The 18,786-nt window shown below is 51.9% G+C and overlaps 1 protein-coding gene across 3 annotated transcripts in view, besides 4 other annotated features; it reads left to right on the plus strand.

Annotated features, from left to right (window-relative positions):
- The window catches only part of AJAP1 (adherens junctions associated protein 1), a 137,926-nt gene that overhangs the window by 83,582 nt on the left and 35,558 nt on the right, over window positions 1-18,786 (plus strand). The window lies entirely within an intron of this gene.
- Window positions 5,902-6,402: an enhancer, noted in NCBI's record as "H3K4me1 hESC enhancer chr1:4804152-4804652 (GRCh37/hg19 assembly coordinates)". NCBI's record gives its function as "activates a minimal SCP1, AML or CMV promoter by ChIP-STARR-seq in primed H9 embryonic stem cells {active_cell/tissue: H9 hESC(primed)}" and the evidence as "EXISTENCE:reporter gene assay evidence [ECO:0000049][PMID:30033119]".
- Window positions 6,403-6,903: an enhancer, noted in NCBI's record as "H3K4me1 hESC enhancer chr1:4804653-4805153 (GRCh37/hg19 assembly coordinates)". NCBI's record gives its function as "activates a minimal SCP1, AML or CMV promoter by ChIP-STARR-seq in primed H9 embryonic stem cells {active_cell/tissue: H9 hESC(primed)}" and the evidence as "EXISTENCE:reporter gene assay evidence [ECO:0000049][PMID:30033119]".
- Window positions 13,266-14,103: an enhancer, noted in NCBI's record as "H3K4me1 hESC enhancer chr1:4811516-4812353 (GRCh37/hg19 assembly coordinates)". NCBI's record gives its function as "activates a minimal SCP1, AML or CMV promoter by ChIP-STARR-seq in naive H9 embryonic stem cells {active_cell/tissue: H9 hESC(naive)}" and the evidence as "EXISTENCE:reporter gene assay evidence [ECO:0000049][PMID:30033119]".
- Window positions 16,211-17,072: an enhancer, noted in NCBI's record as "OCT4-NANOG-H3K27ac-H3K4me1 hESC enhancer chr1:4814461-4815322 (GRCh37/hg19 assembly coordinates)". NCBI's record gives its function as "activates a minimal SCP1, AML or CMV promoter by ChIP-STARR-seq in primed H9 embryonic stem cells {active_cell/tissue: H9 hESC(primed)}" and the evidence as "EXISTENCE:reporter gene assay evidence [ECO:0000049][PMID:30033119]".

Raw genomic sequence — 18,786 nt, forward strand, 5'->3', positions numbered from 1 at the left:
CAGGCCACGGCCATGCATGATGAGGCATGATCAACACAACAGGGGCCCTGCTCTCATGGGGCTAGCAGGCCCACAAGGGTGATTGTCTGGAAATTCACTCAAATAAATGCGTAATTGTCAACCATGTTGAGCAGACTGAGTCAATACACAAGATAGCATAAGAGTCTCTGCAAGAAGAATGTGGATTGACTGGGGAGTTAGCATGCGTGAGGGGCCTCTCTCTGAACAAGGGGAGGGTGATTAGGGGGTAGCTGGTCTGGAGCTAAGAGAGAGCACTCTAGGCGGGAGGGAAGCCAGCCCTAGGGCAGGAGTGGAGGTTGTTGGCGAGAGCCACTGGCAGGCAGATTTGGTGGGAAGGATTAGCACAGAGCAGAAGGGAAGAGTAAGGAGAGGGGGTGGGAGCCAGGGCAGGCCCCCCAGGCCATGGCAGCACCGCGGGGGTGTGCAGAGACTAGGAGAAGCCGCTGGAGGGTTTGAGCTGGGAAGCAGGAAGATCTGAGCTCTGTTCTGGAAGGGTTCCCTGGGCTGCTGGATGTAGGAGAGGCTGTGGGAAGCGGGGAGCCCTGCTAGGGATTCCACTCCAGGGGGAAATGAAAGTGCCTAGGACATGCATGGACAAAATGTGGGCGGAGGCCACCACTTGACTTGGCTCTTCCATGAAGGGAGGCCCCATAGGAGCAGGAGAACTCAGAGGAGAGAACCGCTGGAAGACCTGGGGCCCTGGCAGCAGGGCAAGGTGACCACTTAGGAGGAGAAGGAGGTGGGAAGGGCGTGGGGGCACATCTGGGGGTTTGGACACCAAGTTCATGTTGGGAATTGAGATGTGGGGGAGGCAGGGCCACTGCTTCTCCTCTCTCCCGGGAGATTGCATTTTCCATGGGCACCGGAATTCTTGGTGAGACTCCTGGTACCTGGAGCTAAATGACGCAGAAAACTGGTGGATGTCCCACTCAAACACATGTGGGAGAGTCTTCTCGTCCTGGGGGTGCCCTTCCACAACCCCACAGTAAACTGCAGGCGGGGAAAGACGATCTCACACACAGCATCCCACTTTGCTCACAATGCTGCAAACCTGCGTAATAATTCCCACTTTGCCCAGTGCAAGTATCGGCAGGCTTTGGGGTCTGCCGGCCTTGGAAAGTGGGTCCGTCCAAGCACAGACATCTCCCGTCTGTCGGCAGCAATGGTCATGCGACAGGCCTGGGAAGCCCACTGTTGGCAATGCATTTGGAATGCAGTCCACCCCCTACCCTCGTGTTAACTCCAGGTCTCCTTGCCACCTTCTGAGCTTTCTGGGGAAATAAGTCAAAAAGTTAATTTGATTTTGAACAGATTCTTAAATCAGTTCCCAAGAGGCAGAGATCAATTTGCATTTCATCTTTTCTTAGTCATCTTGGCTGGTATTTCACACGAGCTGTTGGTATTTTTCGTGTTCTCTCACTGCACAGAAATGACCCTTGGAGCATATTTTTAAAAGGAGAAAAAACCATCTGAAGAGGGGGAGGAGGCAGCAGGTTCTGTTTTTGGTTGTTGTTTTTTTTTCTGTTTTCTTTTGTACTTGTGATTTCTGTTCTTCACCACACAGCATGGTTGTGGCGGCCCTCACTTCAACGTTGAATTGTGTTTGGTTCTTCTGCATCCCTCCTAAAGTCTGAGGTTCCTTCTTGTGCCTTTGGCATCAGAGTGTCTGATAAGGGGCAGAGCCCACCCCAGGCCTTACCCATCATCTACTGAGAGGGCTTCCGGGATGGCTTCCCACCATGGTGGCCACTCCCCGTCCAGCTCACGACACCTCTCATCTTGGAAGGAGAAAGGACCTGACGGGGTGTATCTAAAAGAATTTAAAGCGGAGTCTCAGAGAGATGTGCGCATACCCATGTTCACAGCAGCGTTATTTACAATATTCGAAGTCACACCTCCCAGGTGTCCATCTATGGATGAGCAGATAAACAAAATGTGGTCCATCCACACAATGAAATATCCCTCAGCCTTAAAACCAAAGGAAATTACAGCATATGATACAATGTGGCTGAACCTTGAGGACATTCTGCTAAGCGAAATAAACCGGCCACAAAAGGACAAACTCTGTCAGATTCTACTCATATGAGGTCCCTGGAGTCACCAAATGCATAGAGACAGAAAGTCAAATGGTGGGTGCCAGGGCCTGGGGGAGGGGGATGGGGAGTGAGTGTTGATGGGGACAGAGTTTCAGTTTTGGGAAAATGAAAAAGTTCTGGAGTTGGAGGGTGGTGGTGATTTCCTGACAATGTAAATGTGCTTAATGCTGCCAAACTGTACGCTTAAAAAGTGGCTGGCCGGGCACGGTGGCTCACGCCTGTCATCCCAGCACTTTGGGAGGCCGAGGCGGGCAGATCACAAGGTCAGGAGATCGAGACCATCCTGGCTAACATGGTGAAACCCCGTCTCTACTAAAAAATACAAAAAATTAGCCGGGTGTGGTGGCGGGCGCCTGTAGTCCCAGCTACTCCAGAGGCTGAGGCAGGAGAATGGCGGGAACCCGGGAGGAGGAGCTTACAGTGAGCCGAGATCGCACCACTGCACTCCAGCCTGGGCAACAGAGCAAGACTCCGTCTCAAAAAAAAAAAAAAAAAAAAGCGGGGGGGGCTAAGATGGTCAATTTTATCTTATGTGCATTTTATCACAATTTAAAAATTTTAAAAAGAGAAAGGATCTGCCAGAATAAGCTTCCTGCAGGGTGGGGTCCAGGTGTCTTGCGTCTGGCACCCACCTTCATCCTCACGAAGACTTGGGGCCAAGGACACTTCCTGAATGTTGTGCAGCAGAGGAGCTGTCCGACTCTGCAACTACAAAGTCTCGTTGAAAGCCTGGGGGCCATGGCCACTCAAGGAGGACATGAGAGCAGGGAGGGGCTGGCAGGGCTGGGAGGTCTGCCTCACGCAGGGGTTGGGTGGATGAACAAACAGAAAACGGGAGCTAGGTTTCTCTCTGGGAGAAGGAGTGAGAGTGAGCCCAGGGTCTTGGCTAGATTTGGAGGTCATCCGAGTGTCCTGGAGCTGCCGCAAGGAAGGACCACAGACCAGGTGACCTAACCCAGTAGAAAGGCATCCTCTCACAGGTCTGGAGCAGGAAGCCCAAATCAGAGTGTGTGCAGGGTCTTGCTCCCTCTGGAGGTTCCAGGGGAGGACCCTTCCCGGCCTCTTCCAGCTTCTGGGAGCTGCTGGCGTCCCTTGACTTGTGGCCACACCACTCTAATCTCTGCCTCTCTTTCCCTACGGCCCTGTGTGTGTCTGTGGGTCCTCTCTGTCTTACAAATATACCAGTCATGTGTGACCTCATCTTAATTCATTCTTGAAGTCCCTATTCCAAAAAACATCACATTCTGAGGTTCTGGGTAGACATGAACTTGGGGACACGTTTTTCATTTCAACACAGAGGTGTCAGTATAAACTCAGGGTTTCAAATGCGAGTGTTCATACATACATTTCTTGGCTCTCCAATTAAGAGGCGCTAGGCAGTGATGCTCCAGCAGAGATGGGCATACCCAGCACCCAGGCCTCAGTTTGCAGAATTTCTTGGAACCAGGGCTCATTGGGTAAATGGCTGATTCCAGGACTGGGGCAGGGAGAGCAGGAGTCAAGTCTGGAATATCTTGTTCCAGAAAGTAAGAAAGTACTCACGGAATGATGGGCACCTGTCTAAAAGACCCAGAGGCCAGCCCAAAGGGGCTCCCACTGGCCAAATCAGAGACAATTTCTGGTCTAACTCACATAATAAAGTGGAATCCCTGAGTGAATAAGACACGGAAAAGGACAATTCTTTATGGTAGAATGCCAGGTGATGCACGTGAAAGGAATGATGGAATTAGAACCATTGAAACCATCATAGTAATGATTAATTCAGGCAAGAGACATTAGTGAGTTTTAAAGAGTGGGTGAACGTTGGATGGCAAATGGGACATTCATCTCCAGTTATCTCCCATGAAATGCTGGCCACGCAAAGCCAGGGAGTGACTTTACCCTGAAGATCCTTTGCAGGCACCTCTGCCCCCTAGTGATCCAAGTCACCCCCTCTCCAGTAAAAGGACAGATCAGCTCCTGCGCTGCCTGATTGGAGTCGCTGAGAACACAGTACGGCTTCGTGATTTTCTTTCCCCAAATTCATAACCTGATCTGTTCATGAGGAAATGTCAGGCAAATCAAAATTGAGGGACATTCTACAAAATGACTGGTCTGTAATCTTCAAAATGCCAAGGTCATGAAAGTCTAGGAAGGGCTGGGAAACTGTTCCCAATTGGAAGACGAGAGACTCAAATGCAAGTTGGGAGCCTGAATGGGGTCTCTTTGCATGCTTGGGGCCCCTGGGGAATCAGGGTTGGGGGCTCTGGGGAAGGTCTAAGGGTGTCTTTGTCCTGTCCTTTCCTGTTTTCTCGAAGTTCGAAATTTTTTTTAACTATAGTGTAAAATAAATCAAATGATGCAATATAAAAGCTGACAGCCTTTTCAATTCCTCTCTTAAGTCACTCTCTGCAATCTCAGACACCTATACAGGAAGAAAAATGTGGGTTGGCTTCATGAAACACAACCGTTCCCCCACCCTAGCCCAGGTAGAAAATGGTTTAGGGTTAGTACTTTTACTTTTCCCCAAAAGCCCTGATACTGATTCAGAGGTTGCTGCACTATGAATGGTCTTCATGCTGTTTTCTTTGGGTGACCCCTCCTGGTGGGGTAAATGTGGGGATGATGGTGATGTTGACGACTGACCGACCCACTGGGTCAGATTTCAACGTCAAGTTGCCTGATGAGGTAGACACAAGTGTGCTAGCATGTTCTGGAGAATACCCCTCAGGTCCCCTGTCCCCGTCAGAACCTGTACGGATTCCACGGCTCCCTGGGGAATGACTTGGGGATCCTGGAACTTGTCCTGCACCCACAGATTACCCCTTGGTGGCTGCAGTGACATCCACCTGCCAACTGCTACCCTCAAAGGCTCTTGTTGAAATGGACATGTGTTCTCTGCTGGGGCCCCACAGAGTGATTTTGGCTCTTTCCTGTCACATTATAGGAATTTCATCAGGTCCCAAGGAGGAAATAGAACAAGAGACAGAGGTCACAAAAGCAAAGACCTCAGCACAAGAGCGCACATCTTAGCTGGGGATCAGCCTGTGGTAGTGAGGGCAGGGCCAGGGAAGGAGGGCAGAAAAGGGGCTCGAGACAGTGCACCTGGTTATGGAAAACTAAAAGGGAAGGGGCTTAGGATGGGTGGAGAAACAGGGAACTTATACTTTACAGGAAGTGCAGCTGCCACCCGCGCCTGCTCCCTGCATATTCGTTCATCCAGATATGTGTTAATGCGTATGTGTCCGCGTTCATTCATTCATCCATCCATCCATCCCTCCATCCGCCCGACAGCAGGCCTGCAAAGAAATGCTGAGACATTGCCAGGAGCTTGCAATCAATTGGCCAGAATGATTTTCTAATTTCTTCCCCTCTGCACCCTTCAACGAATTTATCTTTTACATACTGACCTGAACCCTTAAGTGCTCTGTGCAGCTGGGACAGATTTGCAAAATGAAGGTCAAACTGGATGAACTTCATCTATGGGGGGTCTCGCCGAGAACAATCCCTGACTTACCTGGTCAGAATCAATTGGGGAATAATTGGCCTCCTGACTTCAATGATGCCTGCATGCTGATTCAGTCTTGATGATATAATTACGGGAGAAGGTGGGGCCACGGCACCCTGGACCATCACTGAGAGAGCTCTCCAGGCTCTCCAGGCTCTCCAGGTTGGGATGCGGAGGTGAAGTGATGTGGTGTTTTTTATCTGGGAGAGAGCTGGGATCTCTGTGAACAGGGCTGAGGGGATAGTTAAAGGGGTCATGGGACGAGAGTGGGACGTGACCTCCAGGGACGTCTGAGTGTGTAGATCAAACGGGCCTTTGAGGGCCTGAGTCATTTTGTCAAGGGCAGCAAAGCCAGGCCCGAGCTGGTGCAGCCACGCATGTGTGGGTTGACCCAGAAGGAGCCTTGGCCACCACATGTTGATGGCAGGCGTGTCTCGTCTGGTGTGCAGCCGTTCCTGCTGTTCAGAAGCCTCACACGGAACCCTCCGTTTGTGTAAAGCTCTGTGATTTTTAAAGGACTCTCACGTATTTTTTCCTCTGGTAGATGAGTGGGCTGAGAACGTAAGTGATTTGTCCAAGGTCAATGAAGAAATCAGCAGAGCAATTATTAAACTGTATTAGAGAGCATGTTGCTGAGTGCTGTGGGGAGAGGCCTCGGGGGAGGATGTGGGCCTGGCTGGGCCTAGCCAGAAAGACAGGGCAGGATCCAGATGCAGACCTGCTCACGTGCACACACAGGGATGCACCCATGCATGCTTCCCTCACACCCAGCTGTGTGCACACAACATGAAGGGGCACACATGCACATGCACACATGCCCACATGCATATGCACACACACACACACACACACACACACATTCATGCCCAAGCACGCCCACCCTCATGTCTCACCATGTGCACATAACACACAGTCACATATACCCTGGCACACATGCCCACATGCAGACACGAAACACAGGCCCACGCTTGCATGCACACAGGTATGGGCACACATACCATGCACACATAAAGACAAATACCAGGCCAGACATGATTTGCCCCTGCTGGTGTCACTGTTAAGTGTGACAGACAAGCAGAGGACACACACCCACCTGGGACGCGGGGCTTCAGGAGAGAGGCAGACCTAATAGGGCCCGGATTCGGGGCTGGGAGGCTCCTGAGGGGCCACAGGGTCCAGACCTCTCCTATACCTCCCTGTCCTGGGGCCAGTGGTTAGGCCACTGCACCGAGGAAGGAAGCCCTCAGACAGAGCGTCCTTGGAAGGATTGAGTGAGCCCATCCTAGCAGAACCTCCAGCTGCTCTTCCCCTCCACAGCTAGAATTGAAATAATCAAAATAATCACATGCAATCATACTAAATAACAATGTGCAATGATAACAAATGGACGTCAGAGACACCCTCAAAGGCCTGGAGTTTGCTGGAGAGTCTAGGGCGACAATTTCCTAAATGAGTTGTTTTGGAGCCCTCCCACCTCTGCCAGCACCGAGAAGGCTGTTGTGGGTATGTGTGTCGAGGTGCACTGGGTTCCATCCTCAGAGGGAGGGGACAGGTCTCCAGGGCTCTGCCTTTCTCCCCCATTACCAGCCTTGCTTCTGTCCACACCTTTGGGAGGAATGTTGCCCTGCCCTCCATCCTGGAGGGCAGGCAGGGCTCTGCCAGGCTCTGATGAGGAAAGGATAAAGCTCCGCTCCACAGAAGGAGGGGGCCTGGGGTTTTAAGCCAGCCTCCATTTCCTCTCCTCCTTCCACCCAGACTGCCTTACCCTCCTCTGCTGTTCACAGTGCCCTTCTCAGACTAGCTGGTGCTTAGGAATGAATTATGCACACCTTGGGACTGCCAGAGCACAGAGGATGGGAGATGAAAGGCCTCCTCCAAGAGGTGTGAAACATACCTTGTGCATTTGGCTTTGAGTCAGAGTCAGCAGGTCACGTGGGGATGGTGGGTGGAGTCAAAGGAGGCTGCTGGGTCCTGGGCAGCGCTTCCTCTCCAAGGCCAGCGTCCTGATGTCCCTCTGTTGCTGGGGGCGAGTCGACTGCTTTCAGTCTTTGGCTAGGACTTGGGGACACGTGGTGGGAGCATGGTTTCTGGAATCAGGCTCTGCCACTGACCAGACTGCGGGTAAACTGCACTAGTGTCTCAGCCTCTCCCAGCCTCCCTTTCCTCTTTGCAAAATGAAAACAGTGAAGCCAATGGCATTGGTTTCCCGTGGCTGCTGTAACCAAGTTTCGCACATGGGTGATTTAAAACAACAGCAATTTATTCTTCCATAATTCTGGGGACCAGAAGTCTGAAAGAAAGGTGTCCTAGGACCATGCTCCCTCTGGAGGCTCCTGGGGAGGAGCCTTCCTCGCTGCTTCCAGCTTCTGGGGACTCCAGGCATTCCTCGGACGGTGGCTGCATCTCCCCAGTCTCTGCCTCCATCATCCCGTGGCTGCCTCCTCTATATCTCTATGTGTCTCAAATATCCCTCTCCTTTCCTTATAAGGACACTTGTCATTGGATTTAGGGTCCACCCTGAGTCCCAGGCAATTGAGATCCTTAGCTAATCACATCTGCACAACCCTGTCTCCAAATAAGGTCCCATGCTCAGGTACCTGAGCCAGGATGTGGCCATATCTTTTGGGGGAGGGAGCACCGTTCAACCCGCATCGCCCACCTTGTGAGATGATTACTGTAAACATGAGCAATAACGGGTGGGACGGGCCCAGCAGAGCACCTGGCATAGAGCAAGGCTCCCAACACATGGTAACCCCTTATCAGCATCTGTGCAGGGACCACAACTGTCCAACAATTGACCACTCCAGGTGCCTTCTAAGGCTAATTTTGTACCATGACCGAAAATACGTTTTAGGGCTTACAATGAAAAATTGTCCTACTTAGTACAAACAACTGCTATTGAATTCTATTCCTTGCAGCTCAGCAGGCAGCCTCTGGGGTGACAGAGGGGCATGGAGTGAACACCAGGTTTCGTGGTTTGCCCACACATTTGGGTGTCATAGATTGGCCTGTGTGCTCCCCAGCCTGGGAAATTGCCTCCCCACCACTGGGACTTTCATTGACAAGGCAGCTGGTGGTACGACACCTCCTAGGTGTTCACCACCAGCCTTGTGACCCCGCACTGCAGGGACTGTGGGTCTTGATAGGAGCGCCAAGGTAAAAGCACCAGATTAGTCTGCAGAGAAGAGATTCATTCACTCTGTAGTCCAGGCAGGACAAGACCGTGTTCACGTGAGGTCACCTGTGGGAGAACGCCACTGTCCCAGCCTCCATGTTGACACAAAACCAGACGTCAGCCAGAGCCAAAGGAGACAGATGTGGCATCAAAGGGAGAGAAGGAGAGGAAGAGGTCCCACAGAGGGGTCTGAGAGGTCTGTCCTTGCGGGCATTTGCTGTGCCGTCGTCAGCCTCACTCCCTCCAGGAGGGCTCTGTGCATGTCCTGACTTGGCTGCACTCTGGCCCTCTCCACTTGCCCACACTCCGATACACCCCTGACTGCTCCTGAGTTGTTCCCCGCTCCTCCAAATGCCATCCCCCCTCTCCACCTCACCCGGCCTCTGTTGCCTCTCCTGGGGGCCCTCATGTAGCTTCTGTCTCTTGCTGCTGTCTTGCAGACCGGGTTGGCCAGGGCCTCCTCCTCCTCCTTGGGCTTTCAGGCCTTTAGGCTTCTTTCAAAATCCCCATCCTCCAGCGCATGTGAGGTCTGGCTGTGCCGCCCCCTTCCCTCCTAGGCACTGAACCATCCTCCCACTTGTCCCTCTTGGGCCCCATTCTACCTGACGTGCAAAACCTCCACCTTGAGTGAGAGCAACTGCGTGCCATCCACACATATGCATGGAAGGAGTGGATAGATCACAGTTAGGCTGAGTCTAAGTCCACAATTGCCGACCTCAGATGAAAGCTTCCTTCGTTGGCCGGGCATGATGGCTCACCTGTAATCCCAGCACTTTGGGAGGCTGGGGCAGGCAGATCACCTGAGGTCAGGAGTTTAAGACCAGCCTGGTCAACATGGCGAAACCTTGTCTCTACTAAAAATACAAAAATGTGCCGGGCGTGGTGGCACACACCTGTAATCAATCCCAGCTACTTGGGAGGCTGAGGCACGAGAATCACTTGAGCCCTGGAGGCCAAGGTTTCAGTGAGCCAAGATCATGCCACTGCACACCAGCCTGGGTGACAGAGCCAGACTCTGTCTCAAAAAAAAAAAAACAAAGCAAAAAAACCCTCCTTTCCTTACTGTCCAACCCAAACCCCACCCACTGTGTCCCCGCACCCAGATTTTGCTGCCAGATGCAGCCCTACACAGTGTCAACCTGGCCATCCCCTCACCTGACCTTCAGAGCCACTGCCTCTGGCCTCATCCTCGCCCCTGCATCCTCCCCTCCCCGTCCATCAGCTACTCCCTCCCATTGACCCTCACCCTGGAAGAGCCTCCCATGGCCTCTGTCCCATCTCAGCGCTTCTGCTGTGTGGGGTGCATCACGTGCGTGATCACCCTGCTGTGCTGGGTGTGTTACATGCATGATCTCCTGTTACTCATGATGCCAGGGTGAGCTGAGTTGTTGTGTGTGTCTCCGGCCAGCACCTGCAAGGGGGAGGCACTGCCTAGGCGTCGGCCTCTGTGACTGGTAGTCACGACGTTGTGGTCCTCAAAAATGGAACAGGGCTCTGGCTGGGTGCGGTGTCTCACGCCTGTAATCCCAGCACTTTGGGAGGCTGAGGTGGACAGATCACCTGAGGTCAGGAGTTTGAAACCAGCCTGGCCAATATGGTAAAACCCTGTCTCTACTAAAAATGCAAAAATTAGCCAGGCATGATGGCGTGTGCCTGTAATCCCAGCAACTCAGGAGGCTGAGGCAGGAGAATCGCTTAAACTGGGGAGGCTGAGGTTGCAGTTAGCCTAGATTGTGCCACTGCACCCCAGCCTGGGTGACAGAGTGAGACTCTGTCTCAAAAAAAAAAAAAAAAAAAAAAAAAAAGAATGGAACCAGGGCTCTTACAAAAGAGGATGACAGGGCACCCTGGAGTCTTTTTGCCTTTCTGCCACTTGAGGATGCAGCAAAAGGCACCATCTTAGAAGCAGAGAGCAGCCCTTGCTAGACCCCAAACCTGCCAGCACCTTCATCTTGAACCTTCCAGCTTCTAGAACTGTGAGAAATAAGTCTGTGTTTATAAGTCACCCAATGTAAGGTGTGAGAACCGCAGGAGTGGACTGAGCCAGGACTTCAGCCTCTCATTTCTGGTGGACACGGTTCAACCAGCAACACTGTCCCCAGCATGCCAGGGCCCTGCAGTCCAGTTCGCAGTGCCCAGCTCGTTCCAGTCTTATCAACGTCATATTCTCTGCTGGGTTGTAAAGGGCCTTCCGTGAGCTCACACGGTGAGCAGAGTGTGTCCAGCTTAGGTCCCTTGGGACCTGCAGATGCTCTCAGGACAAAACCATATCAGGCGGACACACCTTCCACAGACATGGAGTCAGGCACTGCCTCCAAGTCTTGCTCTGCTCGAAGCTGAATACCTCCCCTTGCAGAAGTCACCTTGTCCCTGGAACCTCAGCCTTTACATCAGCAAAATCAAGACAGCGTTCCTTCCACTGACCCTGTCACCCATGGGGTTTCTGTAAAAAGCGAGACACGAGACGCTATGGCCCCAGATCTGTGGGATCCTCGCATGGATGCAGCTGCTGTCATGCGCTTATATGCCTCTGTCTTCTCCACTGCCGGCTTCCGGAGGATGGGCAACCCAGCCCTCCACGGACGTGGGGAGGCACACTGTGGAGGCCAGGGGGAGGCAAGAGTGGGGAGGACCAGGAAAAAACAAACCAGTGTATTTGGTGCATCTCCCTCATCACCGGGAGCTGTGCACAGAGGGACACAGTGACCCCAACTCCTTAGGGGCAGCGGCCCTGTGTACCAGAGGCCTTGCATCCAGGCAGGTGTTTCATGAAGGGTGTGTGGGTGTGTGTGTGGCACAGCTTGTGCCTTTAAGAGTGTGCCTGTGTTTGCATGCATGCAGTTCTTGTGTGTGTGCACTCGTGCACGCCTGTGTGTTTGTCCATGCCCGTGCGTCTGTGTTTTTGTGTCCCTGTTTGCAAATGTGTGTGTGTTGGGTTTTGTGCTCATATATGCTAGTGTTTTTGTGTATGCATGTGCCCATTCATGTGTGTGTATGTTTGTGTGTGAGTGGGCATAGGTATTTTCATGTCCATGTGTTTGTGTGTCTGTGTGTGCATGTGTTTGTGTGTGTGTGTGTGTTTGTATCTATATATGCCAGTGTGTCTGGTTGTGTTTGGGTCAGTATATGCTAGAGCATATGTGTTTGGCTGTGCATGTGTGTCTGGGGACATGTGTGTGCATTTGTCCCTGGCCATGTGTTTGTGTGTATGTGTGCATGCCCATGTTTGTGTGTGCGTGTGTGCATGTATTTGTGTGTGTTCATGCATTTGTGTGTGCATGTGCAGGACAGTGTGTGTGCACACACACACATGCACCTAAGGGGATGTGGAGGTGTGAACATACTTCTCGCTGCCAATGCTGGAAGAGCCTGGCTGTTCACTGCTCTGGAGACCTGTATGCTAAAAATAGAATGAGTTGGGAGGTGACACAGAGCCCTGCAGGACCACGTTGTCATCCTCATAACTGTTTTGAAAATGGCTTGTGAGCCTGAAGTGAAAAGTGCATGTGGCAGCCACAGCCTCTGCAGACAGAGCAGTGCCCTCTGCCAGGCTGGGATCAGTGGGTTCTCTAGGAGCAGGGCTGGAGGTGAGGTGTGCTGGGATGGGCACAGTTACAGACAGAGCAGTGCCCTCTGCCAGGCTGGGATGAGTGGGTTCCCTAGGAGCAGGGCTGGAGGTAGGGTGTGCTGGGATGGGCACAGTGAGCCTCAGAAATCTCCAGTGACACACCCTCCTCCTCCATCACTGTTAGAGGATGCTGCTGTCACCTTGGGAAGAAGACCAGGGATCCAAGTTGGTCTGATTGGACCAGAGAGGAAGGGATCTGACCTTCTGAGAAGAAGGAGGAGTGAGGTGGTTATTCTCCTCTCCAGCAACACGTTTATTGTCCCAGGGAGCTGGTGGCATACTAGATGGAACTGCCAGGAAGCAGGGAAAAGACCTCCAATCCCCTGACCTGGGCTGGGAGGGCCAGTGGAAAGGTCAGCTTCTCCCAATCCCCAGTGTAGAATCCGAGACTCTGAGTGGTCAGATGATCCCTTTTGGCAGGTCACCACTCGATAGTGACCAGGCCATGACGGGAACCATCTGCATGGCCCCAAGGCAGCCTCCTGCACAACCCCCAGTGCCTCTCGCTCCCCTGGCTGCCTTGGGAACCTACCTGGACAGGTGCTCCTCCTCCAGACCACCCATTTCTCCCCCTCTGTTTTGTCTGGAGATGACGGCACCATGTCTGGACCCGGCAGAGCCTTTTGTGACCTGGGAAGGATCCAGCCTTGGTCGCTGGACACCTTCGTCCAGCACAGCCTCTTCCCTGGTGGAGGTGGCCACTGACAAACGTTCGAATTCCGCTCAGTTCCAGAATGTAGCTGATGTGATGAACCTATTAGCTGATGCTTCCTGACTCAGCAGGGCATAGGAGCTAGCAGAGAGGTCCCAGCCCACAGCCAGGTGTGCCCCAGCAAGGAGAGTGCTGAAAAGAAAGGGAGGCACCTGGAACCAAGTCAGATGCCATCTTCACTCACTCGTTCAATCAGTCATTCATTTGCCAAGTATTTATGATGTGGCTGCTGCTTCTCTGGAGACACTGTCATGAACAAGAGAGACACCTGCCTCTGCCTGGAGCCCACGGTCTGGCAGCTCATCCTCCTGGCTGCGCACATTCTGTCTGGGAGTCGTCTTGTCCACAACTTTACCCAGGACCCAGCCACTGCATCCAAAGAGCACAGAGGCCTGGTGGCCACACCGATGATGGCAGTTTGTCCAGGAATACAGAGTGCAGTTGAAACACAAGCCAAGGGAGAAAGCACTCACGCTCTCTGCAAGGTGCGTTTCCACTATGTGTACAGTAAGATTGGGTCACGGGCACAGAAGCAGCCAACACAAAGGCAGGGCCGGAACAGAAGTTGAGTTCACAGGTGACTCTGGACACAGCAGCTGAGGAGTCAGACAGGGTGCACTGAGTCCCTGCCCACACCCCACAGCCTAATGCAACCAGACCTTCTTATGCCAGGCACCTGGCATCTGGCTGGATGGTAATAGTGGTGCCCACAGGAGTGAGTTAGCTGGGCAAGTGACTGCAAAGTATAGGGCTCAGGTGGGCGGAGGAAGTGCCATCTCAGACACATGAGAAAGGGAAGCAGTAAGGTCACAGCATGTCATTAAAGGAGGAACAGAGGGAGGGGAGGAGGAGGGAGGAGAGGAGGAGGAGGGAGGAGAGAGAGGAGGAGGGAGAGGAGGAGGAGGGACAGGGGGATGAGAAGACACTGGTGGCTTTGTTTCACCGAGATGAAGGAACAAGGAAAGAAACAGTTGTTTGTGTGGTTGAGGAGCTTGGAATTTCCCCAGGAAAGATGTCCAGTAGACAAGAGAATGCAGAAGGTGAGGGATCTGGGCAAGAGAGGACGTCATGATCAGTAATTGCTCTAGAGATGATAATGGCAGTGCCCAGAGCCGATGGGATGGCCCAGGAAGAATGCCCATACCTTCTCTGTGAGCCCCATTCGCAATCTTACGAGCTATGGGGACCGAGTGGTCCACCTGGCTCATAGCAGGCTCTGAATAAATAGTAGTATCATATTATGGAGTTTAAATTAAATCAGCAGGAGGGAGCCCAGCACAGCTTCCAGCATGCAGCTCTGATGAGGTCTGGCCTCCTTCCTTCCCTCACTTTGATGTCACTATTTGCTTCAGGGACCAGGACTGTCTTGCTCCCCTGCATCTCTTCTGCCACAAAGAAACAATCCTGGGCTCCCAAGCCCACCCCCATGCTCCAGTAACCCTATCATTTGAATAATTTATTCTTCCAAGAAGAGTTTGCTTCTTGAAAGACAACTATAGAACCAGGATCCAAGTGGAAGAATTCAAAGCATAAGACAAAGACTGGGTCCTCTAGGGAAAAGGAGGCCTTGCAGAGCCCCCAAAGACACAACCTGTTTTGCTCACACCTCCTCATGTTCTCTTCAAACTTCCCGCCAACCCTTCCTGGGGTGCTCCTTGGCCACATGCCTTTGTTCTGGACTGTCCAGTGGGTCCCCTTGTATGACCTTCTCTCCATCCGTACCATCCCTGCCTCTAAAGATGCCAACCAGAGAGCCTACCATGAATCTTCTCCTTCTTTTACGGCGTTTTATATCATTGCTGCTGGAAGGGCCCTGTGCACTAATCAGTCCTGAGATTTTCACAGTTCTTTTCAGCTAAATCTTTCATCCCCAACATGGAAAATAGGTTGAGGGGAGACAGCAGTGTATGGAGAGAGAGTGGGTGCCCTGCAGCTTCCTCTTTGATTCTTCTCCAGCCCCTGGAAGCTACATTAAGGCCCAAGAGAACACCTTGAGGCTTACTGATCTAGGCCCAGTTTCCTCTTACACAGATGGGAAAACCCACACCCAAAAAGGACGTGAAAATTTCCCAAGGCTGATTGCACAGGAATTAGCAGGAATTTACTCCATTTTCTTAAAAATATTCCTATGAATTATTCATATATAAATATGTAAATTATTCATATACATTATTTATATATAAGGTAGTAGTATTTATATGTGTCCCAGTTCCTCTTGAAATTCTCCATCTTGTAATCTATTTTCTTTAATATATTAATCGCTGTTTTTGTTTTTGTTTTGAGATGGAGTTTCGTTCTTGTCACCCGGGCTGGAGTGCAATGGCATGATCTCAGCTCACCGCAACCTCCGCCTCCTGGGTTCAAGGGATTCTCCTGCCTCAGCCTCCCATGTAGCTGGGATTACAGGCATGCACCACCACGCCCAGCTAATTTTGTATTTTTAGTAGAGACAGGGTTTCTCCATGTTGGAGAGGCTGGTCTCGAACTCCTGACCTCAGGTGATCCGCCCACCTCAGCCTTCCAAAGTGCTGGGATTACAGGCGTGAGCCACTACGCCTGGCCTAACTGCTGTTTTAAAGGTGGTGTCTGATAACTCCAATACTTACTTATTCTATGAGACTATGTCTTTTGTCTTTTGTTTTTTCTCTTTGGTTTTTGTTCGCTTGGTTCTGTCCCCTGGTGTGCCTGGTAATCTTGTGTTGAATGCTAGACATTGTGCATGAAAAGCTATAGAGATGATTCATGGCACTAAATCAGACATTGACCAGCTATAGTCCATGGACCAATCCTGCCTGGTTCCTGCGTTTGTACATCCTGGGAACGAAGAATGGTTTTGTCATGTTTAGAAGGTTGAAAAAAATTAAAAGGATAACGGTTTGCAACACATGAAAGTTATTTGAAATTCTATTTCTAGTGTCCACAATTAAAGACTTCCTGGCACATAGCACACTCATTTGTTTACATTTGTCTGTGGCTACACAGGCAGGGGTGTGTTGTTACTACCAAAGCTGTATGGTCTGTAAAACCTAAGCTATTGACTCTCTGGCCCTTTGCAGGAAAAGTTTGCCAATTCTTGCTCTCAAGGCAGTTTCTCCTGTAGCAGAGACTCCCTTTCCCTTCTGGCTACCCACTAGGTTGGGACTATGTGGAGAGAAAGTGAGTTTCCAGTCTCTCAGGCAGCCCATCCTCCTTGACAGTCCCAATCTCCATTCCAAGCTTCCCAGACCATGGATGGCTTCCTGGCCTCAAGCAGCTGCCACTTTGAGGATGAGAGGACAACATCTCACGTCTTCTAAACTCACAGGGAATTCCCAGCTTCTGATTTTCCAGACTGAAACTGAACATTTGTCTATTTGTTTGTTTCTGTTTGTTTTCGGTGACGGGGCCTCAGTCTTGTGCTTTGAAAGGCCTTCTTGGAAACATGGATTAAGACGTTGCTGGGACCCCAGCGCAAAGCAAGGAGTGGCCGTTTTCCTATGGCTTCCTTATTCCAAGCGAGCGAGCCTCCCTTGTGCTGCCTGCCCTTGGGTCCTCCTTCCTGCTCTCCCCTCATCTCAACCTGGGGCATTTGTGGGGACAGTGCTCACAGCCACCACTCCCTGGGCCTTTCATGTCCTGACTTGCAACAGCCCCAGTGGGCAAGATGCAGGGAGATCAGCCCTGCCTGGGCAGGAACCCCCAGCTGGCCCACCAGGTGTCTCTGCCTTGGAGCCAGGTGGTATGAGCACAGGGATTCTCACCATGTGCCCTCCCTGCAGCCCATGGAGCCGTGGTTGGGTGGCACTGCCCACTCCTGTCCTGGTGGGAGAAGGGGCACCAGGTGACTGTCCAAGAGCAACAGGGAGGGTAACTGGGGGCCTTTCGAGTGCATCTATTTATCTGTTTATTGTTTTTAATAAAATGGCTGTTGGTGTCATAAAGACAGCAGCTGTTACTGAATTTAACAATATTCTGCAGCAGGAAGCACTCAGAACCCCTGTGGGAAGTGGGTGCGGGGGACTCTCACATGTCCCCCTCCTCTCTCACACCACCCCCACACTTAAGATTGCATTGCAATTTCCCCACTCTCTGGCTGCATAGAGGTTTTAATGAAACAAGGGGATAACCGTCTCCCTCCTGCTGGCTCTGTTGACACTGCCAGTGGGTTTTGCAGGCAGAGCACCCTGCCTGGCCACGGGGCTCTGTTTGCAAGCTTCCGGCCTTGCTCCAGGGAGATTAAGCTGCCCCCACCCCCACCCCCTGCCTGCCCATGGACTCAGTCTAGTACCGGGGGTTTGACTCAGACCTCACTGGAAGGCATGTCTTGGATGTTAAAGGAAAAATTATTCAATGAGACTTGTTAGAGAGCAGTAAGGAATGCTTTACTTGTAAGGAATGCTTTACTTGGGGCCATCACAGCAAGTACAGGGACCACACAGTGGGATTTCGCAATGGGGGAGAGAGATTGGGCTCAACTTAGAACACAGCCTGGGCAAATGGGAATTTGCAGCCAAGGGGTAGGGCGGGGTGGTGGGGGGATTAAAAACGACTAGGAGGAAACACTGGAGTAAGGGGGGTTCTGGCTGTTAAACCCACCTAACAGGGTTCTTGCTGAAGGCAGGCCAGGTTGATCAGACGTCACCTGGGGAAGGGTGAAGGATGACAACGGATCAGAAATGGAGGGTGATCAGATATGGAGGGTGGGGGTTTTGGCTAAACTCACTTAGCAGGGTTCTTTGCTAAGCATAGACTTATGCTTAGCATATGCATAAGGAAGTGCCCAGACAAGCCTAGGAGAAGGTGCAGGAGCCTGATGAGAGTTTCGCCAGGCAGAGGATCTTTGTCACTGAGTTGGGTGGAGTTTGGCAGCTGCATCAGTGAGCAAGCACCTCTCAACACAGAAATAGAAGTGTGGTCCCCTTTTCACATCACGGGCCCCAAAACAGAAGCAGCCCACAGTGGTGAGGGGCTTGGCCCTGCCGAAAGCAGCTCAGGGAGGGCTGCAGGAGTGAAATGACTATGTCCGCACCGTGGCATCCCTGGCTGGGAGCCCAGGACCAGTGCTCAGGGTGCCTGGGCCAGGTGTGCGGTAGTCTCATGGCATGGCCTGACCTTTTCTGACCCAAACTCCTCAGCAGGGGCTTGTCTGGACCAAGATTCAGCAGCAAGTAATGCCCTCCTGGGTCAATGTCTCCCAAGCTAAGCTCTTTCTCTCCAACTCACAAATGTTTACGGAGGGTCTAGGGCAGAACAGAGATGGCTGGATTTGGAGGGCCTGCCGTGAGTGGAACCCAAGACAGAGAGGCTCCCTCCTGTCTCTGAGACTACATCCTGCTGAGTTCATGGAGGTTTTGTTTTCCTGGGATTCAGACGCTTAGGTTCTGTGCAAGAAGAGTGCAGATGCCAAATTTGTGAGATGCTGGGTTAAGCAAACCTTCTGAAACAAGTTTGCTTTCTGGAGGCCTCTCAAACCTGAGCTTTGTGACTCTCCAGGAGGGAACTAAGCTTCCTACAAAGAATTCCCACCTTGATTTGAGCAGAGAATCCTTGTGGGTTTTCCCAGAATGCTGAGAAGGGTCTTTGGGGAGGGTAGGGAGCCTGCAGTGCCCCCTCCAAGTGTGGAACCTCAGGCTGCCCCTAGCCCTCCCTAGCCTCATCTCTGTCATGCAGCCACACCTGCCTGCCCCC

This window comes from Homo sapiens, chromosome 1 (assembly GCF_000001405.40).
Source record: "Homo sapiens chromosome 1, GRCh38.p14 Primary Assembly".
In the NCBI taxonomy this organism is placed as follows: domain Eukaryota; kingdom Metazoa; phylum Chordata; class Mammalia; order Primates; family Hominidae; genus Homo; species Homo sapiens.